Source organism: Homo sapiens, chromosome 2, assembly GCF_000001405.40.
Source record: "Homo sapiens chromosome 2, GRCh38.p14 Primary Assembly".
Lineage (NCBI taxonomy): Eukaryota > Metazoa > Chordata > Mammalia > Primates > Hominidae > Homo > Homo sapiens.
The window spans coordinates 224,530,945-224,554,942 of record NC_000002.12 but is presented as its reverse complement, the minus strand read 5'-3'; the positions used below and the strand labels follow the sequence as shown (position 1 = coordinate 224,554,942).

The 23,998-nt window shown below is 36.9% G+C and overlaps 1 protein-coding gene across 7 annotated transcripts in view; it reads left to right on the top strand.

Annotated features, from left to right (window-relative positions):
* CUL3 (cullin 3) overlaps positions 1-23,998 on the top strand; it is a 115,214-nt gene that overhangs the window by 30,421 nt on the left and 60,795 nt on the right. For all 7 annotated transcript variants that reach the window (NM_001257197.2, NM_003590.5, NM_001257198.2 and 4 more), the window contains one exon: positions 19,302-19,415. In NM_001257197.2, the coding sequence (NP_001244126.1) occupies positions 19,302-19,415 (114 nt within the window). The remainder of the gene's footprint in view (positions 1-19,301; positions 19,416-23,998) is intronic.

The following is a 23,998-nucleotide window of genomic DNA, read 5'->3' as shown; positions in this document are numbered from 1 at the left end:
GTGTGGGAAATGGAAAAGACCAATTTAAGAAATTTGGCATCAAAAGGACAAGTGGAAGAGTTTTGTTTAAAGCTGCTGAAGGAGAGAAGATTGGAACAGCTGAGTTATTGGATATAGAGAGTATGGGATTAAGAACAATGGAAAAGAAGTAAACTTGGAAGAGGGGCATGTTCTCATTCGTCAGAGGTTCTATAGGGAATGATAATTAACACAATTAACTTTTATTTAGCATTTACTGTGTGCTAGGCCCAGTTCTAGTGCTTTTACATGTTTTAACTTAGCTAACAGTCACAGCCCAATGTTGCAGATACTACTATTATGTCTGTTTTACAAATGAAGAAACCAAGGCACAGATAATTGGTCATTTGTCCAGGTCCATATAGCTGTTAAGTGGCCTAGCCGGAACTGAATTCAGGCAATGTGGCTTTAGTCTGAGCCCTTGAATTCTCTGTAGATCTGCTCCTAAGGTAGAATGATCAAGTTGTAGTATGCTGAAATTCAGTGTAAGGGGCTTCAAGTTAATGGACTTACTGTCTGTAAACCTCCAGTCCTTTAAATTCTAGGAATCCTTTAAATTTACTTAATAATGGAGTTGGAAATAATATCCCTGAGATTCTTTATTTCTAAAATTATTATGAATCTAATAAACCATCCATCTTCTGAAAACGAGACGAAGAGACTTGGAGTAGCCTTTGTAAGGGATATACTAAGGAATTGGCAAGTGCAGAAGAAGATAGCTTCATAGGAGTTGGCCTGAATGTGTGCTATGTCAGTTTTTTTAAACCTTGGGCACAGGTGCAGAAAAAAACATCAGTAGTTGTGTGTTAGGGTTGAGAAGTGGCTCGTCCAAAGAGTGAGGAGAAGAGAGAAGGCCAGAGTGTGAGATCAGTGTTTCGGTGACCAAGTTTTGGGCTCCAGTATGGTCAATTGGATGTTGAAGATATGGTCCAGTAGATATTGAAGTTACGTGAGCAGTCACTCCATGAGAACTCTGAGTTTCAGTATATTATAAGTTGCTTAAAGTGGTCCCATATTTAAGGTTAACTGTTGTCTTCCTCATCTTAAGCTACTGTAACAAATCCCATAAACCAGGTGGCTTAAACAAATATTTCTCACCATTCTGGCAAGTGAGAAGTCCAAGATCAAGGTGCTTGCAGGTTCATTTTTCTGGTGAGAGTCCCCTTCCTGGTCTATAGACAACCACCTCCTTGCTGTGTCTTCACAGGGCAGGGAGGGAGAGAGGTCATGTCTCTCATGTATCTTATAATGGTTCCATCCTGTTAATGAGGGTACCATTCTCAAGATTTAATTGCCTCCCAAAGGCCCCACCTCTAAATACTATCACATTTGGGATTAGGGTTTCATAATATGAATTTGAATAACACAAACATTCAGTCCATAACAATTATCATTTCAGAATATAGGCAGTTTTTATAATATATTCCCCCAAAACATGCATTCAAGTTGATTGTACTAAATAAATTTTAAAATATACAGTATATGCTAAATTCTTAAATTTACTTTCCTTATACATAGTCATTAATGATCATTGCCGGCATCTGAAAATGTTCTTTTATTTATTCTTTTCTTTCACGCTCATTTGACCAGTCAATTTTTGACTAGGAAATGTAGCAATTTCAGCATGTCTGTTCATTGATTATTTACAGTGAATTAGGTTTTGAAGCCTCTGCTAGTTTCTGTGCTTTTGTTTTCATGTTTACTCCTATTTTATAAAACAATTTTAATAATCATATAAACACAGTACTACTGTATTGAAGGGGACACTATCGAAAGAACTATTAACTGATAGGTAGGACCATCTGACATGTTTGTTTCCTAAGGTAGGACCTCTGACATGTTTGTTTCCTAAGGTAGTAAGTCTCAGTTTGTTCTACTAAATGAGACTTAGAGATGTTACTGATACAATGTGCAAAAGCATAGTTTGCATGAAAATCAGTACTGCCTATCTCTGCATTGCATCTTTTGACTAGAAGGTGAGATATTCTTTCAGGGTTCTGTGGTATCAGAATACCTATCTTTAATCTCACAGAATATACCTTTTTTTGTTGTTCTGAAAGCATTACTGTTTGGTCTGCTCATCAGTTTTTAATTCACAATGCTTTTGGCAGTTAGCTGAACTGCCTGACGAACCATATATTTATTTATTTTAAAGCAAAGTGCTTTTAGTGCTATGGTATACATAGCCAAGACCCATCTTTTCACATTGAAGAATTCCAAGGAAATATAATTTTTACATGGATTGAGGGCTGGTTTGTTATATAGTTTGTTGGTACTTTGATTTCAAGGTGAGGATAGTGAACAAAGTCAAACATTTTGGTAAAGTAGCGCAACACAGACTACCAGACAGCAGATGACGGGAGGCTTCAGAGAGGACATCTCTTTGGGATTGTTGTAGCTGATTGTTGGCTTTCAAAATAAGTTCACAAAATTGAAGCAGGCATAGAAAATATAAGTACTGTTTCTCTAATAAAAGCACTTCTGGTAGGATATTATTTTTCTTGTCTCTGGAAGAATGTTTCCTTTGAGGAAACTGACACCCATAGGAATTTAGTTCATTTCTCAAGACCACAAGGCAAAATTTAGGGTGTAATGTGGCCTTTGTACCTCACCATAAGAAAAATCTTGGTTTAGAAAATGAAAACATTTCAACTTACACAGGAATTTGTTTTTTAACTTTTTTTCTAAATAAAGTAAAAAAGCATAGTAATGGAGGAAAAAAGTTCTGCTTTTCAGATTTAAAGACGTTTAGAATATATATTATTTTGTCAAAGTGTCAAAGGTATCCTGTAAGACTTTTCCCATCACAGAATTCAGCATTCAAAACTGTTTGCCAGGCTCTGTGCTAGGTGTAAGGAATATATTGGTAAATAGAATACATCTGATTCCTGCACTTATGAAACAGATAGTAAACAGGTAAACAAGTATTTAGTTATAAAATATAATCAAGAAAGGACACAGTGATAGAGGAAAAAATGATAAAGACAACCACATAGGTCAAGAAAGGGCTGTTTGAGGAAGTGATAGTGTTTAAACTGGGATTAGAAGAATAAGCGCTCACAAGAAAAGTGGGTTGAAGAGTATTCTAGGCAAAGTGAATGGCTGTACAATATTTTTTTCTGTAAAGGACCAGATAGTCAGTATTTTTGTTTTTCTGAGCCATACATTCTCAGGCACAGCTCCTCAGAGTCTGTTTTTGTAGCACAAAAGCAGCAACAGACCAAATGTAAATGAATGAACATGGCAGTATTCCAGTAAAACTTTACTTTAAAAAGGCAGCAGGCTGAGTGCAGTGGCTCACGCCTATAATCCTAGCACTTTGGGAGACTGAGGTGGCAGGAACACCTGAGGCCAGCAGTTTTGAGACCAGCCTGAGCAACATAGTGAGACCTTGTCTCTACAAAAAAAAAAAAAAAAATTGACCAGGCGTGGTGGCTCACACCTGTAATCCCAGCACTTTGGGAGGCCCAGGTGGGCAGATCACGAGGTCAGGAGATCGAGACCATCCTGGCTAACACGGTGAAACCACATGTCTCCTAAAAATACAAAAAATGAGCCGGACGTGGTGGCGGGCACCTGTAGTCCCAGCTACACAGGAGGCTGAGGCAGGAGAATGGTGTGAACCCAGGAGGCAGAGCTTGCAGTGAGCCGTGATCACACCACTGCACTCCAGCCTGGGCGACAGAGTGAGACTCCGTCTCAAAAAAAAAAAAAAAAAATTGCCGGGCTTGGTGGCACACACCTGTAGTCACAGTCGCTCAGGAGGCTGAGGCCCAGGAGTTTGAGGCTGCAGTGAGCTGTTACTGAACTACTGCACTGCAGCCTGGGCAACAGAGCGATTAAAAAAAAAAAAAAAGCTGGAGGCTATTCTTTGCCACTTCCTAAAGACATTGAATAAAATCCCATCATAAGTAGGGAGCTAAGACTTGGTAATGGAGAGGAATGGGACAAGATGGGGTTGCAGAGAGAAGCAGAAGCCAGATCATATCATGCCAGACCTTGAAGCCATGGCAGAAGGCTTTGTAATTAATTATATGTACGTTAGGAAGCCATTTAAGGATTTTAAGCAAGATAAATAAGTTAGAGAGCATAAGAGTTGAAATAAGGGGACCAGGAAGGAGTAATCCAGAAATTCAGGTGAATAACAGTGATGATTTACACTAGTGTAGTGACAGTTAAGATTGAGAAAAGTTTTAAAATACAAGATATATTTTGGATGTAGAAAGAACGTTACCTGCTAGCAGATTGTTTGTAGGGAATAAGAAACGGACAAATCTAAGATCAGTTTTAAGTTTTTGGCTCTTGGCTAGGCTAGGTGATTTAATTTTCTGATACGGTGGGGCAGACAAAGGAGCTCCATTTTGAACAGGTTAGTTTTAAGATACCTGTAAAATTTGATATGCAAATCAAATTATCCGAGAAGTTTGAACTGGAGATGTGTATTTGGGAATTGTGAACATATAGATGGTACAGGTTGAACATCCCTAATCCAAAAATTCAGAATGCTTCAAAATCCACAACTTTTTGAGCGCCAACATGATGCCACAGTGGAAAATTCCACAGCTTATCTCATGTGATGGAGTCACAGTCACAGCACAGCCAAAACTTTATTTCACAGACAAAATTACTAAAATATAACATTACCCTCAGGCTATGTGTATAAGGTGTATATGAAACAAATAAATTTCATGTTTACACTTGGATTCCATCCCCAAGATCTCTCATTATGTATATGCAAATACTCAAATCTGAAAATTGAAACACTTCGGGTCCCCATGCATTTAGGGTGAGGAGTACCCAACCTGTATTTAAAGCCCTGGAAGTAAATGAAGTCACAGAGACAAGAGAAAAGAGGGCCCAGGATTGCACCCTGAGGAATTTAAACACTTCGTGTTCAGATACATTGAGGATTGCAGTGGAGACTGAAAAGTTGCCAGTTAGTGGTACTTAAGACTTAGCTCTAATCTTACATTATAAGATAATAATATTTGACAGGTATTTAGCAGAGTTACAGTTTTTCACAGCCATTTTGCGTGTGTGTGTGTGCGTGTGTGTGTGTGTGCACGCATATATGTGTATATGTAAGTCAGATACTAAAGCACGGTTTTAAATTTAGAAATAGTAATAATTAGTTTTGCTACTTTTGGGCATGTTAAGGGTGGAGCCATCTTCTTTCATTCTCCTTTCATAAGGTTCCTATTTGGGATTCAAACTTGACAGTTTTTAAGCTTGTTGTAGAGTAACAAAGGACTTGCCTTTTCTTCTTCTAACTCCTGTTGAGCACTTTAATAGTAAGAAATAACCTAGATGCAGCTGCAGTGGGAAAAGTAATAGGTAGAAAATAGAACTGAGCATTGGTACTTAATTCTCTCACTAATAATCTTGAACAAATTACTAAACCTTTCTGGGATTTAAAGTATTAATCTATAAAATGAGTTTGGAGTTGGTCGTTTTAGCCCAAAGAACTTTAAAAATTATGATTATGTGTCTTGATAAGTTTAGGTTATTAAGACTTAGGAAGATAATAGTCTCTAAGACTGTTTATTCCTGTGCCATGTGTTTTGAATAAAAATGTTTCAATTTTTTTTTTTTTTTTTAATTTATTTTCCGAGACAAGGTCTTGCTGTCGCCCAGGCTGGAGTGCAGTTGGCGCCATCTTGGCTCACTGCAATCTCCACCTTGTAGTTTCAAGCAAATCTCGTGCCTCAGCCTTCCGAGTAGCTGGGATTACAGGCGTGTGCCACCATGCTCGGCCAATCTTTGTATTTTTAGTAAATATGGTGTTTTGCCATGTTGTCCATGCTGGTTTTGAACTCCTAGTAGCATCAATGATCCACCCGCCTTGGCCTCCCAAAGTGTTGGGATTACAGGCGTGAGCCACAGCGTCCAGCTTTTTTGTTGTTGTTGTTGTTGTTGTTTTTTGGAGACCAGGCCTTATTGTGTTTCCCAGGCTGGAGTACGTTGGCACAATCTCGGTTCACTGCATTCTCCGCCTCCCAGGCTGTGGTGATTCTCTCACTTCAGCCTCCTACATAGCTGGGCTACCGGCACGTGCCACCATGCCTGGCTAAATTTTTGTATATTTTTTTGTAGAAACAAGGTTTCCACCATGTTGCCCAGGCTGGTCTCGAACTCCAGGGCTCAAGTGATCCATCCGCCTCCCAAAGTGCTGGGACTACAGGCGTGAGCCATTGTGCCTGGCCTCAATTTTTAATTTTCTTGAAGTCAGGGGAGAAACTTTAGTTTTAATATGGGAAGAGCTTTATTATCTCAATTTTGTAATGCTTAGCAGTTTTCTTAGATTTACCTTATGCTTAATTTCTTCATCTTTAATACTCCATAGTAATAATCAAATAACATGGTAACCTCATAAATGAACCTATAAAAATTATTGAACTTTGAAAGTTGGTTTCTTAGAAAAATAGCTGAACAAAAAAAAGTTAACATTTAAAATTAACTTATCTTTTTAGTTATTATTGGAAAGAACATTTATTCTAGTGGTTTTCAAAGTTTTTCTATCCGTATGTCCTATTCTTCAAATAATATCTTACTCCGATTGAATGGGAGGAAGCCAGAATAAGAGGAGCTTCATCCTGCTCACCTTTCCTTTATTCAGAAAACCGCCTGTTGAGCAAGGCTCTGGTGTGAGCATTTGTACTATATCAAGGAAAGATTCCTGCCTTTGTGGAAGTTACGTTTTAGACTTACATACTTGGATCTACGCTTTGTAGTCATAATCTGTTCTAAGCACTTTTGTTTTACCAGTGGGGAAATTGCAGCCTTGAAGGGGACATGGTTTCAAGTTTCAAGTGACTTTCTTTTTTGAATTTCTTTGTAAACTGCAATGTCTTTTTGTAGAACAAATAATTCCTCACCATTTATCTTTTGTACCTAGGGTCTTATTTGCTGAAAATGCTGTCTCTGTGTGAACTACTTTTTCAATATATTTTTCTCCCTATTTCTAGATGGGGAAGAAGAACCAGTTTTAAATTTTATATTTGTTTGTAAGTAAGTTAAGATATTTATGTGAACATGAAGTTGGTAACTTTAAGGTAAACTGTGGACTCTTCTTTATGTCAATTAAACAGACTTCCTTTTATAATAAAGCTTTTGGAGTGCTTTTCCCTTTCTAGGCAAATATTAATTAATCTAATGGAAAACATTAAAATTAATGTTTTTAATGGCATATATATATACAATATATAATGACTGCAGTGAGTTAAGAATATTGATAGAAACACTTGGGAATAAGATTTTCCTTAGCAAATTCAGATTCATTTCAGAGGCCCACAGAGATTGAGTTTCTCCTATGTTTCAGCCACCCAAAAATAAATAAGACATGATTCTTGCCAGCAAGAATCCCATAATTTTAGCGAGGTAATCAGATTTGAGGGGGAGTTACTTTGCCTGAGGAATTCAGGGCAAGGTAGAAAGAGGAGGTCACTTTTGATTATACTTAAAGCATTACTCAAGATTCATCATGTGAGCAAAGCCAAAATACTGTCCCGGTAGATAACAAGGAGAGAAAGTTGAATGAGAAAAATGGCAGGTAGGTATGAGCGTAGTGAGATAGATCAGTATAGATGGAAGGTGAACATGTTGTTCATAAGGATGAACAAAAGCATCTTCGAATGTTTTTGTAGGAAATGAGGATAGTAAAGTGGGTTGGGCTAGATTTTGAAAACCATTGTAGGGGATTTGAGTGTTTTTCTGTTGGTGGTGGGAGCCATTGCTTTTTAATCCTTAGAAAGGCTGACTGCAGTGGAGAAGATGTAGTCAGGCATTTAGGATGAGTGCCATTTTCAGTTCCTTGTTGCTGCTTGCTCATCTTTAGTTTTCATGCTATCTTGTCTTGATGTTTAACTTAAAAGTTGCTGGAAGTACTCAACCCATTATGCTTTTTGGGATGGTGGTGACAGGAGTGAGAAGAGACTGTGAGCTAGGTGTGAAAACTGTTAATGGGTATGATATGGGGATAGTGACCTAAATATAAATAGCATAATCCCAAAAGAGACAGAGACTTGTCGGGGATAGTGTGTGGAAAAGGGATTATTAGAGAGTCAGGAAAACAGCAACCGTGGGATATGAAGGACATTGGAAATTGAATGGTTTCTACATTGAAAGGGATGGAAGAGAAATGATGTTAGGGGAGAGGAGGCTTAAAAGTGTTGTTTTAACAAGTTTGCCCATGTTAAGTATCAGCTATTCTGCTTAAGTTGTTAGGTAGACTGTACTTTGAGGGCAAGTACCCCCCCCCATCCTATTTCTGTTGTATTTTTTAGTGATATTCTTCTGTTACTAAGTGAATAAATGAAGGAGGACCTGTTCATTTATCTTTGTGTCTCCTCTTTGCATGTGGTTGGCACTCAGTTGTCTGTTGAAATGAATCTTTGAGAATACTACCAGCAGTCAAAATGGAAACCACCTTGGTTCATAGCCACAAATAGCTGAGATCCATTTTTTTTTTCTCTGTGTGGGGTAATACCTCTCCCTACTCGAGTTAATTACTAAATCTGACAACCATTTAAAAACACAGGTGATTATCGGGCTATATGCTTCTGTTTTTTTGAGATTGAAGTCTGTCTGTCGGCTTAGAACCAGATCATGTTATCTTGAGAAACCATGGTGGTTTTTTCCATCGTACTCGAGAACAAAAATACTGGTAGCTTTGTTGTCATGCTTTGTGTATGTTTTCCTGATTAATTCTGTCAGTGTGCCTGTTACTAAGTTTAACCATGATACTAATGCTATAATAATAGCTTTTAATGTATATCTTAACCATTGGGAATAGTATACTTTACAAACGATAAGTCATAGTGGTGTTTTTCTGTGGTGTACTGTCATTTTTCTTTCTGCATTCCTTTCCAACCAGTAAGTAAAAAGCTATCATTTTTCATAGTAGTATTTTGTACTGATTGAGAAATCCTGATTTTTCTAAGTCATACTATTTTAAGACCAGTTTAAAAGCATATTTGAACTAAGAATGCCTTTTTTAAAAATGTCAAATTTTATGTGATTTTTAAAATAGTATTTGCTTCAACACGTAGCAAATTATCTTTATGTATGAAATTGTGAAAGTGTATTGTCCTAACACCTGTTCTGTGTTCCTTCTTTGAACTTTGTAACTTTTCCGTAGTGCTATTTATTGTATTCTACTTTGTATTGAGGTCATTTGAATGCTAATATTAGGCTCCCCCTTCTCCCCTCTCCCTCAGAGATTATAAAGTGGCTGAAAGTGTCTTGTATCCCCCATAGTGCCAAGCACCCTGTTTTGCCTGCTGGAAGCAAACATAAATACATGAATTGTCAGTCTGGGGAAATACTTTGTATACTTTTGAATGAGTGGTTGATATCTGATAATAGGACCTGATTTCTTTAAGAGCTTCATTTTGGACACTTAAAGCAAAGAGTAAGAATGGGGAATATTTCCACTGAGAATGAATTTGATTTTGAAATTGAGAATAGTGTGCTTTTTGTGAAATGCTGTTAAGTTACATTACTATGTACGTTAGAAAATTACTTAATGAGGAATCTTCTGGCAGCAATGGAGAAAATTTTTTCCCTACAGTGGCTATCTTACTGTTTTTTTAAGGATACTGGTATAATTTTTCTGATCACTATTGCCATCTTAATTATTAAAGTTAATTAAAAATAATGAGAATAACACAGTCTACTGTATGAAAAGGATAGTGAATTTTATATTATTCAGGAATCTCATCATTAGTTAATTCTTGGAAAGTTTAAAATACCTACAAAACTTAAAATTAATTATCTTGGCCTTAGTAGAAGCTTGTTTGAGATACAGAAATCTTAAGATTGCTATATGTATTATAACAGCAACATCTGTTAACCAAATTTATATTAGTTGTACAAATAATTGGAGTTTGACTGCATTAAGAATTCCTCAAAATATGAGGTAAGAGTTCCTTCCAGTCATTCAGAAATTCTATCCTTTAGAGGAAAGGAAAGCAAGTGTCCTTATTCCTGACCTGCCCCTATTTTTGTATATGACTTCTGTAAAAATAGCAGAACATTGCAGTGTTTCTTTTTAACCTTTTAGATCAGGAATTCTCAGGGTGAGGGAAAGAGCCATGAAGCTTTTTTCTCAAACAGTTCTGTCAGCTGTCCTCTATACCTTATGGCTTGTCTCCCATTGGGATTCACTTTATCTAGTAAGCCACTTTTATTGATAGGTTTGTGTCATACCACTGTGGTATGATAAGGTGGAAAAATTTTGAAATCTTTAAGAATTATTTAATGGCATTCCTTGGAAGACTAAAATTCATGTAACTGGCAAAATTTATAAAGTGACAAACCCCTAGACCACATGTGATTAATGCAGGACTGAAAAAAGTATGTTTTAAGTGGAAATTTAAATGCTATTTTTATTTTTATTTTTTAACTTTTTTTGTATATGTAAGAATGTTTTTGTAACATTACTTATAATGGTAAAAAACTAAAAGCAACTTATCCATCGTTAATAAAGTGATTGAAGAAGTTATGGCATTAAGTGCTATTTTTGTAGGTCATAGTAAATGTTGCATGCTTTTGTATTATGCTGTCTTTAACAGATGAAACAGGCAACATGTTTTGGAATTTAGAGCCAGAAAGATAGCAGGCATCCAGTGGCTGTCAATTATTTTAAAATAGAAGCCCCAATTTAAAAAATCATACAAAACTATTATAAATCATATTTAATAAGGGGAAATGAAGTCTTTTCTGCAGTGGTGCTAAGTAAGGCATTGCAGTGGAACATGATGTCATTGATCTAATCAACCATAGTCACATCACAGGTAAAGAGGTGCTACAGACTAGATAGGTTAGGTGACTTGCTCAGAGCCCTTAGTTAGTGACTTCCCTGGGCAGTTGTCTGCAAAGAGGTTGAGTATCCCTAATCCAAAAATCCAAAATCTGAAACTTTTTTCTTTTTTTTTTTGAAATGGGAGGGGTCTCACTCTGTCACCCTAGCTGGAGTGTAGTGGCATGATCTCGGCTCACTGCAGCTTCCACCTCCTGGGCTTAAGTGATCCTCCCACCTCAGCCTCCTGAATAGCTGGGACTACAGGCACACACCACCACCCCCAGCTAATTGTTTATATTTTTGGTGGAGATGAGGTTTTGCCATGTTGTCCAGGCTGGTCTTGAATTCCTGAGCTCAAGCCATTGTGCCCACGTCAACCTCACAGAGTGCTGGGATTATAGGCATTGAGCCGCCACACCAGGCCAAAATCCGAAACTTTTTGAGTGCTGAGATGATGCTTTAAGGAAATGCTCATTGGAGCATCTCAGATTTTGGATTTTCGGATTAAGGATGCTTACCTGGTAAGTATTATATTCCAAAATCTGAAAAAACCGAAAATCTGAAAAAATCAAAAATCTGAAACACGAGTGGCCTCCAAGTGTTTTGGATAAGTGATATTCAACCTTAGCAGATTTTTATTATCTTAGCTTCTGGGTGAATGTTAAAATACTATAGATTTATAGAATGACATACCTTTGAGTTATTGTACCTCTGTGATACTTTTTAATGTCCTGGTATAATTAGGATGTGCTCCATGTTATTATGTCTCATTTTATGTTTTTAATACATGATTAGTATTTTTTTGATGGACAGTAATGCCAAGTATAAATTTCTGTACTTTGGGGATTTGTCTATATTTGGACCTAATGTTGTCCTGAATTTGGAGACTTGTTTACCAAGGAAGTCCTCAATTTTCAGTATTCCATATCATCATTGATTATGTGACTCTGTTTTAGTTTCAATGAACTTTAGAATTAAAGTTTTTAATTTGTTTTAGCTGATGATTTCTTTGTTTTACCTAGACATTTAATTAGGATTGGCTGGCTGGGATTTTGCCCCAGGCATTGAAATGTAGAGTGTGAAAAAATTTTAATTAATGATTAAAAACAATTATGTGTGTTGTGGGGTATGGGAGAACTGTGCACATTATGTCCTTCAGCTCTCCAGCTAGCCCAAGAGCTGCTGGCCCAGTATTGCTTCCTTGTCAATCCATGGAGATATTTGGGAATGAAAACTCAAGGGCAAAGTTTGGAAGCCTGTAGCTCCTGGTCATTCCTGCTGTTGTCTCCTGTCATCCTCCTTTCCAGCTCCTTTTGTTTCTCTTTACCAGTAATTTGACTGACTTGAGGATGTGTATATTGCAGCTTGGACATTAATTTATCATTAAGCAGGTTTTATTATACAGTTGAAAAATAGGCCAGACACGGTGACTCATGCGTATAATCCCAACACTTTGGGAGGCCAACGTGGAAGGATCACTTTGAGGCCAGGACTTCGAGACCAGCTTGGGCAAAACAGTAAGACCCCTTACCTACACACGCATGCGCGCGCGCACACACACACACACGCACACGCACACAGCCAGAAGTGCTGGCACACACACACACATACACACACACACACACACAAAAAGCCAGAAGTGCTGGCGCGTGCTGCTGAAGTCCTAGCTACTTGGGAGGCTCAGGTGGGAGCATCACTTGTGCCCAGGAGCTTGAGGCTGCAGTGAGCTATAATTGTGTCACTGTACTCCAGCCTGGGTGAAAGAGTGACACCCTGTTTCTTAAAAAAAGAAAAAGGTTTCCTTTTGACAGTAATTCCACTTTAATCTTTGCTAAGGATTTAATTTTTAAAAATGCGAGAAAAGCTATATCCACAGAAACAAAGAATAGTGGTCAAGTTTGAATTGTTGCAGAGTGGTTCATAAGGTTGATATACTCAAATTGTTTAACAATTCTTTCATTGTTTGGAATTAAAATTGCTTTTATGAATAAAGCTTGTGGCATCATAGCTTATGTTTATGATAAAATAATAAGGAAACAGGGCCCAATTTTCAAATAATAATTCAAATTTTTAAAAATTAGTGTATAATAAAATTGGCCTTTATTTTCATATATCTCTGAATTTCAGCACACATAAAGATTCATGTAACCACTGTCACACTTGATATAGAACAGTTGCTTGACCCCAGTAAACTCCCTCTGTTATCCCTTTATAGTTCTCTTAACCCCTAGTTCCTGACAACCACTGATCTGCTATCTTAACACTATAGTTTTGGATTTTTTTTTTCAAGAATGTCATATAATTGGAATTATAGTTTGTAATCTTTTGAGTCTGGTTTCTTTCATTCAGCATAATTATTTTGAGATTGATCCAAACTATTCTATCAATAATTTGTTCCCTTTTATGGCTGATACTCTATTGTATGAATGTACCACAGTTTGCTTATTCATTTACCTGTATACTTGTTGAAAGACATTTTGTGGTTGTGAGTAGAGCTGCTATGAACATTTGTGTGTGATTTTTGTGTGAATGTAAGTTTTCATTTCTCTGTTAAATACATAGAAGTAGGGTTGCTGGGTCACGTGATGTTATTTAACTTCCTAAGAACTGCCAAACTGTTTTCTGGTAAGGCTGTACCATTTTGTTTATGGTAGTTCTAGTTGTTGCAAATCTTTGTCAGCAGTTGATACTGTCAGCATCTTTTGTTTTAGCCATTCTGATGGGTGTGTAGGGGTTTCTCATGGTTTTAATTAGCTTTTCCCTAATGACTTACATTGTTGAACATCTGTTCATGTACAAAATTGCCATCTGTATATCCTCTTTGGTGAAGTGTCTGTTCAAGTCTTTTGCTCATTTTTAAATTATTTGCTGTCATTGCTAAGTTCTAAGAGTTTTTTTTTTTTTAATATGTTCTGGATACAGTCATTTGGTTTTTCTCCTATTCTGTAGCTTCTCTCTGTTACTGTCTCAGTGGTGTCTACAGAACAAAAGTTTTTAATTTCAGTAGAGTCCAGTTTAGCATTTTTTCTTTTATAAATTATGCTTTTGGTATCATTTGCTTAAAATTATCAGATGACATTTTCTTCTTACACTTTATTGTAATCTGACCTTTTTCTTTGGATTACTATGGTGCATTGGACATGATATGATACAGCTAGGTATTTTTCTTCTAAACCAAAGGTTAATATTAAATGTTAATCAGTGGCATTAAAAAAGCAGGGCTCTTCTCACTCATAAGTGGGAGCTGAACATTGAGAACACGTGGACACAGAAGAGAACAACACACACCAGGGCCTGTTGGAGGATGGGAGGTGAGGGGAGGGAACTTAGAGGATGAGTCAATAGGTGCAGCAAACCACCATGGCACACATATACCTATGTAACAAACCTGCACGTTCTGCACGTGGATCCTGTGTGGGTTTTTTTGTTTGTTTTTTAGAAGAAAAAAGCAGGACTCAGAATTGCATAAATACTATTATTACAATAATATAAAAACATACTCATGTTGAAGAAGTTCTGCAAAGGGAAGAGACAGAAATGGCTAGTGTGGGAGCCAGTGGTTTCCTAGTCCTGGATGTTATATCAGAGTCACCTGGGTAGATACTTTAAAATTAGGGTTGTCTTTTGATCTTGTGTGGTCCCCAAATATTTCTTCTTCTTTCTTCTTTCTTTCTTCTTCCTCCTTCCTCTTCCTTCTTCCCTCCCTCCCTTTTTTTTTTAAATATAAAGTTTGGTTTTTAGAGCCGTTTTCAGAATAACACCAAAATTCAGTGGAGAGGCTGGACACAGTGTAATCCCAGCACCTTGGGAGGCCGAGGCGAGTGGATCACTTGAGGTCAGGAGTTCAGGACCAGCCTGGCTAACAAGGTGAAACCGTTGTCTCTACTAAAAATACAAAAATTAGCCAGGTGTGGTGGCGCACACCTGTAATCCCATCTACTTGTGAGGCTGAGCCAGAATAATGGCTTAAACCTGGGAGACAGAGGTTGCAGTGAGCCAAGATTGCGCCACTGGACCCCAGCCTGGGCAACAGAGCGATACTCCATCTAAAAAAAAAAAAAAAAGGTGGAGGATGGAAGGTACTAAGATTTCCCAAATACACCCCTGCCCCAACATATGCACAGCCTCCCCCCCTGTATGCACATCCACACCAGAGTGGTACATTTATTACAATTGATGAACCTACATTGACACGTCATCACTCCAAGTCCATAGTTTACATGAGGGCTCACTTTTGGAATGAACTCAGTCTATGGTTTTGGACATATATTCACTAGTATAGTATTGTACAGAATAGTTTCACTGCCCTGTGAATCCTGTGCTCTGCCTACTTACATACCTATTTTTTTTTTTTTGCTCTCTCTTTAGTTTTGCCTTTTCCAGAATGTCATATAGTTGGATCATACAGTATATACCCTTTTCAGATTAGCTTATTTCACTTTGTAATATGCGTTTAAGTTATCTCTATATCTCTTCATGGCTTAATAGCTCATTTCTTTTTAGTGCTGAGTAATATTCCATTTTCTAAATGTAGTACAATTTATTAATCCACTCATCTGCAGAAGAACGTCTTGGTTTCTTCCAAGTTGTGGCAATTATGAATGAAGTTGCTTTAAACACTTGTGTGTGGGGTTTTGTGTGGACGTAAGTTTTCAGCTCATTTAAGAAAAAACTCAGGAGTGTGATTGCCAGATTATATGGTAAGAGTATGTCTGGTTTCGTTAGAAACTGCCAAACTGCCTTCCAAAGTGACTGTACCATGTTACATTCCCACTGGCAGTGTATGAGATACTCTTTTGCTCTGCGTCCTTGCTAGCATTTGGTATTGTCAATGTTTTGGCCATTCTCAAAGGTATGTAATGGTATCAGATTGGTGTTTTAATCTGCAGTGTCCTAATGACCTATGATCTCCTCAAATGCTTACTTGCCATCTGTATATCTTCTTTGGTTAGGTGTCTGTCAAGATCTTTTGCCTTTTTAAAAATTGAGTTACTTTCTAAGTTTTAAGAATTCTTTATATATTTTGGATAATAGTTCTTTATTAGCTTTGTCTTTTGCAAATACTTTCTCCCAGTCTGTGGCTTGTTTTCTCATTCTCTTCACTGAAGTCTTATTTATTTTTAGAGATAGGATCTTGCTGTGTTGCCCAGGCTTGCCTCAAACTCCTGGGATCAAACAATCCTACCCCCTCAGCCTCGTGAGTAGCTGAGACCACGGACACACTACTGCATCGTACTTAAAATCTGTTTGTAAAAGCTCTTCGGGTGACTCTAATTTTCTGCCTGATTTGTGATCCACTGTGTTGAGCTTTCTCTTTCTTCCTTTGCAAAGCTAGTACCAGGCACAGCCATCAGTTCTCCATTACTTGCACTTCATCTTTTTTGTCACAGCTGGTCCCATCCTGCTCTCAATTTCTCTGGTGTTGCTACTTGTTCTTCCATGTCTCTCCCCTCAAATTCCAACTCTTTATCTGTGTAATTTTAGTATAGGTTTTCTTTAATTATCTGTTCATACTTAATCCATAGGCTGTTTTGGTTCTGGTACTACCTGTACAGCAGGGTTCCCTCCCATTTGCCTTGCTGGTGCAGAAAGTAGGTGATTGTGTTAGGCCATGAGATTAACAATGTTATCCCTCCCACCATATTTCCCATGCTTGCTTTCTTTTTCAATTTTTTTATAAGATGTTAATAATTTGTAAAATAAAGATCCTTTTTTCACTTAATGTGTAGTTTATGTGCCAACTTAACCATCTTTTTAAAAGCCTATTTTAATCTTCATAATCTTCATCTCATTCCTACCATTTTATTGTGTATGTTTGAATAAATAATCTGTTCACTTTCAACTAATTTTCTACAGAAATGTTGGAGGAAAAATTTTTTGTTCATAGAGTAATCTGAATAAGAAGACATTGCAGCAGTGTATCTAAGGCATTCATTTTACTTCTTTCAGTCATGAGTTTGTGTGTGTGTGTATGCATAATTGAAAAATAAACAAAATTAGCTCTTAATTGTAGCTATTTTCTGCTAGTAAAATTCACCGTTATTGGTCAGGATAATTTTTTGAGGTATGATGCAAACAAGGCAATTATGACACATTGTACTAGGAGATCACGTTTTATTTTGCTGAAAGGCAGGTATAAATATGATGACAAATATGTAAATACTTGATATATTTTTTTATAAAATGTACAAATCAGTGATTTGAAAGAACATGCCTTATTTTGTAACATTAACTTTTTATTTAATTGGTCAATTTTTTATTCATTCAACAAATATGCAGGCACATTTACGTGTTCCAAATTCAGGGTGATTTTAATGTAGTTAACATTTAACTTAATTTTATAATATAGCGGTATGTAGAAGTTCATATAAGTCCTTAAGAATAATTAATGGGCTTGATATTCTGATGTTTGAAATACGTATTTTTTTTGTATGTAGCGTAGATTGCTCTTGCATTGTCATGATTTTAATTTAATTGCTACTCTTCAGTAAAGGAATATGAAGCTTGGTGTAAAATTTTGAAAATAAGCACGTTTTCAGCTTGCTGGGTTTTTGTTGGGATTTGTATCTGACAAGTGCTAGATTTAATGAGTTGAAACAAATGATACATTATTCATTTTGTATAAGTATTTCCATTAACTAACTTGATATAGTTAACATTTTTGGAGGAATTTCTGGGTGATGTAACTTGAAGTCATGGAGCTTAGTCTTGTGAACAAAAGATTAAATATATGATAAAATTCTAAATTATGTGGTACAGGCCTAGTGATTTTTATACTGTATATTTAGTAGACTAGATATATTGTCTCATCATTAAATCTAATAACCTCGTTTTCCCCAATATGTAGGAAAAGATTCTGTTTTCTTAGTTTGAATTTATTCTTCCACAGTGTGTTGTGTGTATTTTCTTTGGCACTTTTAGCCACTTGTTCATATTAGATCTGATACAGAATGGCATTTTATTTATGTGTATTTATAATTGTTTTAGAGGTGTCTATATATCTCAACATACATTAAATAGTTGATGTTTCTCAGAAAGCACCATGACTTCAGCTTTTTCCCAATCTGAAAAAGCATAACCACTATTAGAAATTCTCTATGGTAAAGGATATTTGGAGATAAAAAAGTTTTGTTTAGTGTAGAGTTATTGAGAGTTTAGCTGGATTATGGAAGGTTGGTTGGATTTGAATAACTGTAGAAGTTGGCAGTATAGTCCCAAAGTGTTACAGGAACTTGGAGACAAACACACGACGACTTTGTGATAAAACAAGAACCAGAGTCTAGATTCTGTTTCTGAGTGAAATGGTCTTTCTTTTGGGCAGATAGCATAGCAGGAAAGAGTAGTGGTCAATAACATTTTATCAGAGAGGATGGTACTAAGCTTGTGGACTGTGGAAAGGAATTTTTGAAGTCTTGAATAGTCTTTTATTAGGGTTGGATTGGAAAGACATTTCAGGCTCAAGGGAACTTTATGTGCAAAAGCAGGTAATCCTGAAAGTGCTTATGTTGGAGGTGAATCATGGCATTGGAGGGCAGGGATATGAAATAAATGGTGTTATATATACCAAGCACTATTCTAGGTGTGGGATATACACATGGAAAAGATAGAAATCCTGCCACCATGGAGACATTTACATTTTAGTGGAAGAAACAATAAACAAATAAACTAATATAGTAGGTAATGATGAATGCTATGACAAAAAACAAATTGTATGGTGAAGAAGTAGAGCTAGGCTTTCTTTGAAGTAATTGGTTGGGAAAGACTTCTCCAGAGATGAAATTTGAGCAAAATAAAGTGAGTGGGACGAGCCATGTGAATTGAGGCAGAAGGAATGGCAGAGCACAGTTGCTGTATTTAGTAAAGAGGCCATTGTAGCTGAAGTGTACTGAGTAGTTTATTATAGAGTGTTTACGGAGTACTAAGCACTGTTTTAAGTGTATTGCTAGCGTTAATTCAGTTCTTAAAACAATCCTACAAGAAGAATGCTATTTCACATATAAGGAAACTGAGGCACAGAGGTTAAATATTTATCCCAGGTCACCCAGTTTGTTAGGGAGCTGGGATTGGAGCCCAGGTAATTGACTCCAAAATCAGTATTCTCAACCATTATTCAAAGTTGGGGAAGGGAAGGTGTAGTAGGAAATTCAGCAGTAGCATGAAGCCAGTCTTACAGGCCCTTGTAACTTACTATAAGAATATAGGATTTTACTCTGACAATGATGTCAAGTCACTGGAGGGTTGGGAAATACCTAGGAAGTTGATTTATGTTCTGGAGATCAGAAGAGGAGTCTGTACTATACATATACATTTGATACTCTTCTGTGTATAGGTTATAGCTTAAAATATTTCTACTAGCCTATAACATTTCTTTGATTTAAATTAAAGATTCCACTTCATTATTTTATTAAACAGATATGTGCATGCCTGTATATACGAGTGTGTGGATGTGTGTGTGCAAACTAATGAACTCTTCTGTTACTAGGTGCGAGAAGATGTACTAAATTCATTGAATAACAACTTTCTTCAAACGCTAAATCAAGCTTGGAATGATCATCAAACAGCTATGGTGATGATTAGAGACATACTAATGTACATGGTAAGTAGAGCTTTTTAAATGTTTTCTTCCTTTAAGCAGTTAAGCATTTGAAGTTGAAGGCTGGGCACGGTGGCTCACGCCTGTAATCCCAGCACTTTGGGAGGCCAAGGTGGGCATATCATTTAAGGTCAGGACATTGAGACCAGCCTGGCCAGCGTGGCAAAACCCTGTCTCTACTAAAAATACAAAAATTAGGTGCAGTGGTGGGCACCTGTAATCCCAGCTACTTGGGAGGCTGAGGCAGGAGAATCGCTTGAACCGGGGGGTGAGCCAAGATCGTGCCACTGCACTCTCACTTGGGCAACAGAGTGAAACTCCGTCTCAAAAAGAAATTAAACATTTCAAAACACAATGACTTTCTGTCTAACTTAGTTATAGTACGTCTCAGTGTGGAAGGTGGTTTTTGTTTTTTAAATGAACAGTACTTTCTTTGTAAGGGCCAACCGAAGCCTATGTGAATAAAAATCTTTATTTATTTATTTATTTATTTATTTATTTATTTATTTATTTATTTATTTATTTATTTTGAGACGGGGTCTCGCTCTGTTCCCCAGGCTGGAGTGCAGTGGCATGATCTCGGCTCACTGCAAGCTCTGCCTCCCGGGTTCACGCCATTCTCCTGCCTTAGCCTCCTGATGAGCTGGGACTACAGGTGCCCGTCACCACGCCCGGCTATTTTTATTTTTATTTTTATTTTATTTTTCTTTTTAGTAGAGACGGGGTTTCACCACATTAGCCAGGATGGTCTCTATCTCCTGACCTGGTGATCTGCCCACCTCGGCCTCCCAAAGTGCTGGGATTACAGGCGTGAGCCACTGTGCCCGGCCATGAATAAAAATCTTAATTGTTCACATACTTAGTGAATGCTTAGAATGAGAAACTGAAAGGGAATGATTTAATTTTTTTCTTAGTATTTAGCACTTGTCCTTTAAAATGGAAAATATGGAAAAAACCATATTAACATCTCCTTAAGAGTTGTTAAATGACAATGAGAAACAAAAGCTGAATATTCTCTTACAAGTTTTTAAATCCTTAATTCTTACATCTTCAGTGAGAGAGGATGTCATATTAATACAATTATTTTTTCTGATAATCATACACTCATAGCTGCCATCTATTTTTCTTAATAGTATATTATTGCAGTGCAATATTGCAGCTAGTCTTGTTTAAGGATATTAGCTTCTTCACATGTATATTCCATTTTTCACCGGCTATTGCTGTATTTTGTTTTCATCAGTCAAGAAAAAAATCCTGTTCAGCAAGATCATTTGGAAAACACTGACTTTGATCTCAGCTGTTTAATAACTTTCAGAGAGATTAAATTCCAGTTAAAAAAAATTTGGTGCTATAGAATGACGCTAGATTCATTAAGTTTAATTACTGTATCACTCCAAAATTAATAAGTTAATGACTTGTTTTACATCAGTGTTTATGTTTGTGTATTGGATATAATTATTTTTCCCAAAGTTTTACCTTTTTATATTTTTGTTTCTAGTTTTTTTAGTTTTAATGTAGTGATGAGAGCTTGTCCTAGTTTCTTTTACTTGGTAGAATAAAGCAATGTTTGGGAAGAATTTCCAATGAGAACAAACAGCTGTAAAGTTTTTTGTTCTGCTCTGTGAATTCAGTCAGGCCTATTACCCCTGGTTTTGTAAGGGCTTAGTGGCAAGGGGGTCAGGGAGAGGCCACTTCACTTTTAAGGGATTTGATAAAAGGTATAACAAATTATTTAGCTTTTCTGAGCATTATTTTTCTCATCCGGTTATAAATTAACCTTGTGTTATCATTTTGAAGTTAAATGAGATGGTATGTGACAACATATATTATCTGGCATATAAATTTGAAATAAGTTAGCTTGTTGTTTTCGAAGTTCTAGATATGGTGAGTCTTTAAATCGCATCCTAACTATCTAACATTAAGATAGAAAACCACTTGTAATCTTACGGTTTATTCTTTTGACAAAAGAAGAACTTTAAAATTTTATACACACGCAGACTCTGATGTTATTTTTAAAGTGTGTTTTGTTTCAGTCCTCCTCCTCCCTTTTTTTCTTTCTTTTTTCTTTTTTTTTGCAACAAAATCTCAAACCTTGAATTCTGACTCTACACATGGTCAAGAAGTTAATTAGTTCACCCCTCAGGTTCCTCATCTATAAAATGAAAATAATATTGGGTAGAGTAGTCATGAGGCTTCAGTGGAACAATTCATGTAAACCACTTGTAGGGCTTGGCCCATAGTAACATGCTCATTAGAGATTAACTGGTATTATTTCTTGTCCCTTCATCTTTTCATCAAACCCATTCGGTAGTACCACAGTGCTGCATGAACTGAAAATTCATACAGGGTAGATTGATGCCACTGTTTCACTGTTTGTCGCATCACAGACCTGTGGTCAACCCTTCACACTGCCCAGCAGTTTCACTCTTTTTCTTTAGTCAGCTTGCTCCAGCAGTTATTTCTCTTCAGACCTCCATCTCTCCCTTGGGTTTCCTCCCTTGTAGTAAATGATCTTACTTTCTATTTCTCAGAGAAAAGAGAAAGCATCAGGTAGGAACTATGCTCATTTTTTGCCGCTAAATCTAGAACTTTACTTGTATTTTCTCCCCTTTTATGTTTTTCTTTTTCCCTCCTCTTTTAGTGGAGGGTGGTGTCCTCTTCTGTCAGGCCACATCTCAACCTGTGCTATGGGTCAATCCCTTTCTACCTTGTCATGAACCTTAAGTATTTTAGGGTTCTACCTTTCATATTGGATCTTACTCAACCAGCATTAAACATGTTCAAGCCACTCACTCAATCCTCAGAATACAATTCTGTTAAATTCTCTGGTGAACCCCTGCACTGTCTCCCAGGATCTGTCGTGTGTCATTCATAACTAAATGTGTTGTAAGAAATGTTGACATTTGCCATCTTCCTTTTCTCATCTTTCATACACTTTGAATACATTACAGTTAAGCTTCTACCTCAACTATTATGTTAAGTTTTGCCCTTACTAGTATCACCATGGTATCTTTTCATCTCAGAATAGAGAGACTGCTAATCCCCATTCTCCTTGTTTTTTTTTTTTTTTAAGCAGCATTTGCCACAGTTGGTCATTCCTTCGTTCTTCTAACATGTTTCCTTGATTTCTGTAACAAAGAACTCTCTTTGTATGCCTCCTACCTACCTTCTTACTGTTTCTTAGCCTCTCCTCCTCCTTCAATGACTACTAACTGCCCCCACCATCCCCCCTTAAATAGAGGCATTCTTGGGGTTTAGTCCTAGTTGTTCTTCTCATGGTACACTCTCTTCACCTTATGTAGCTTCATGTGCCTCTGTGCAGATGATTCCCAAATTGTGTCTCTAGCTTCATTTCCTGAGATTCAGACTCATATATGCATTTGTCTAGTTAATGGAGCCTTCATTCTCTGAAGTACTTCAAACTTGGCATGTCCAAATGAGCTCATAATCACTATCATTCAGTTGATAATCACTATCATACTGAAACCTGAGAATTATTCTTATAAGTTCTTTTTTTCTCCCTACATCATCTGTTGCTAGACTCTCCAGTTTTCTCTTTATTGTCTGTTACTCAACATCAAACCACCTTCATTTCTCTCTTGAAATATTCAGTGTTGCTAGTCTTACAGTGTTCACTGGGCTCTTCTCTGTTTTCCATATTGCTCCCAGGATTACTATTTTAAAGCCAAATCTGATCATGTCACTGCCCTGTTGAAATCCTTATCTCTCATCTTGGAATTCTTTTACATATCTTCTGTCTGGAAATGTTTCTAGAATTTTTTTTTTCTTTAATGTCACTTGCTCTACTTATTCTTTATGTCTTACCTTATATTTCTGGTAAGCTTTCCCTGACCCACGTACTCCCCACTGGCTGCAGTTGCTCTCATTGTACCTAGTACTATTCCTTTGCAACATTTATCACAGTCATTAACCAACTATTCAGTGTGTAGTTTGCCCAGTGGAGTGTATGAGGATGGAAACAGTGTTTGTGTACTATTATGTCTTTAATACCTACCACAGCTCCTTGTACAAACTAGGCACTTACATATATCTTTAATGAGTTGGTGCAGAGTTATATTGTATGTTTTTTTTTTTAAATAAACTACACTTTTTAAAAATGCTTATTAAAAATATGCTATTTTAGGCCAGGCACAGTGGCTCACCCCTGTAATTCCAGTACTTGGGGAGGCCTAGGTGGGTGGATTACTTGAGGCCAGGAATTTGAGACCAGCCTGGCCAGTGTGGTGAAACCCCATCTCTACTAAAAACACAAAAAATTTGCTAGGTGTGGTGGTGCGTGCCTATGATGCCAGCTACTCGGAGGCTGAGGCAGGAGAATTGCTTGAACTTGGGAGGCAGAGGTTGCAGGAAGCCAAGATCATGCCACTGCACTCTAGCCTGGATGACAGAGTAAGACTCTTATCTCAAAAAAAAAAAAAAAAGGCTATTTTAGGTTCAAAAAGAAAGTGTTGATACCTTCATGTTCTACAAGATAAATTTTTTAAATTTTCATATCCTTCATTTACTTACATTGCCTTTTTATGTGTAGTGTTCTAGGCTTAATTAAAATCTACTTAAAAGTACAT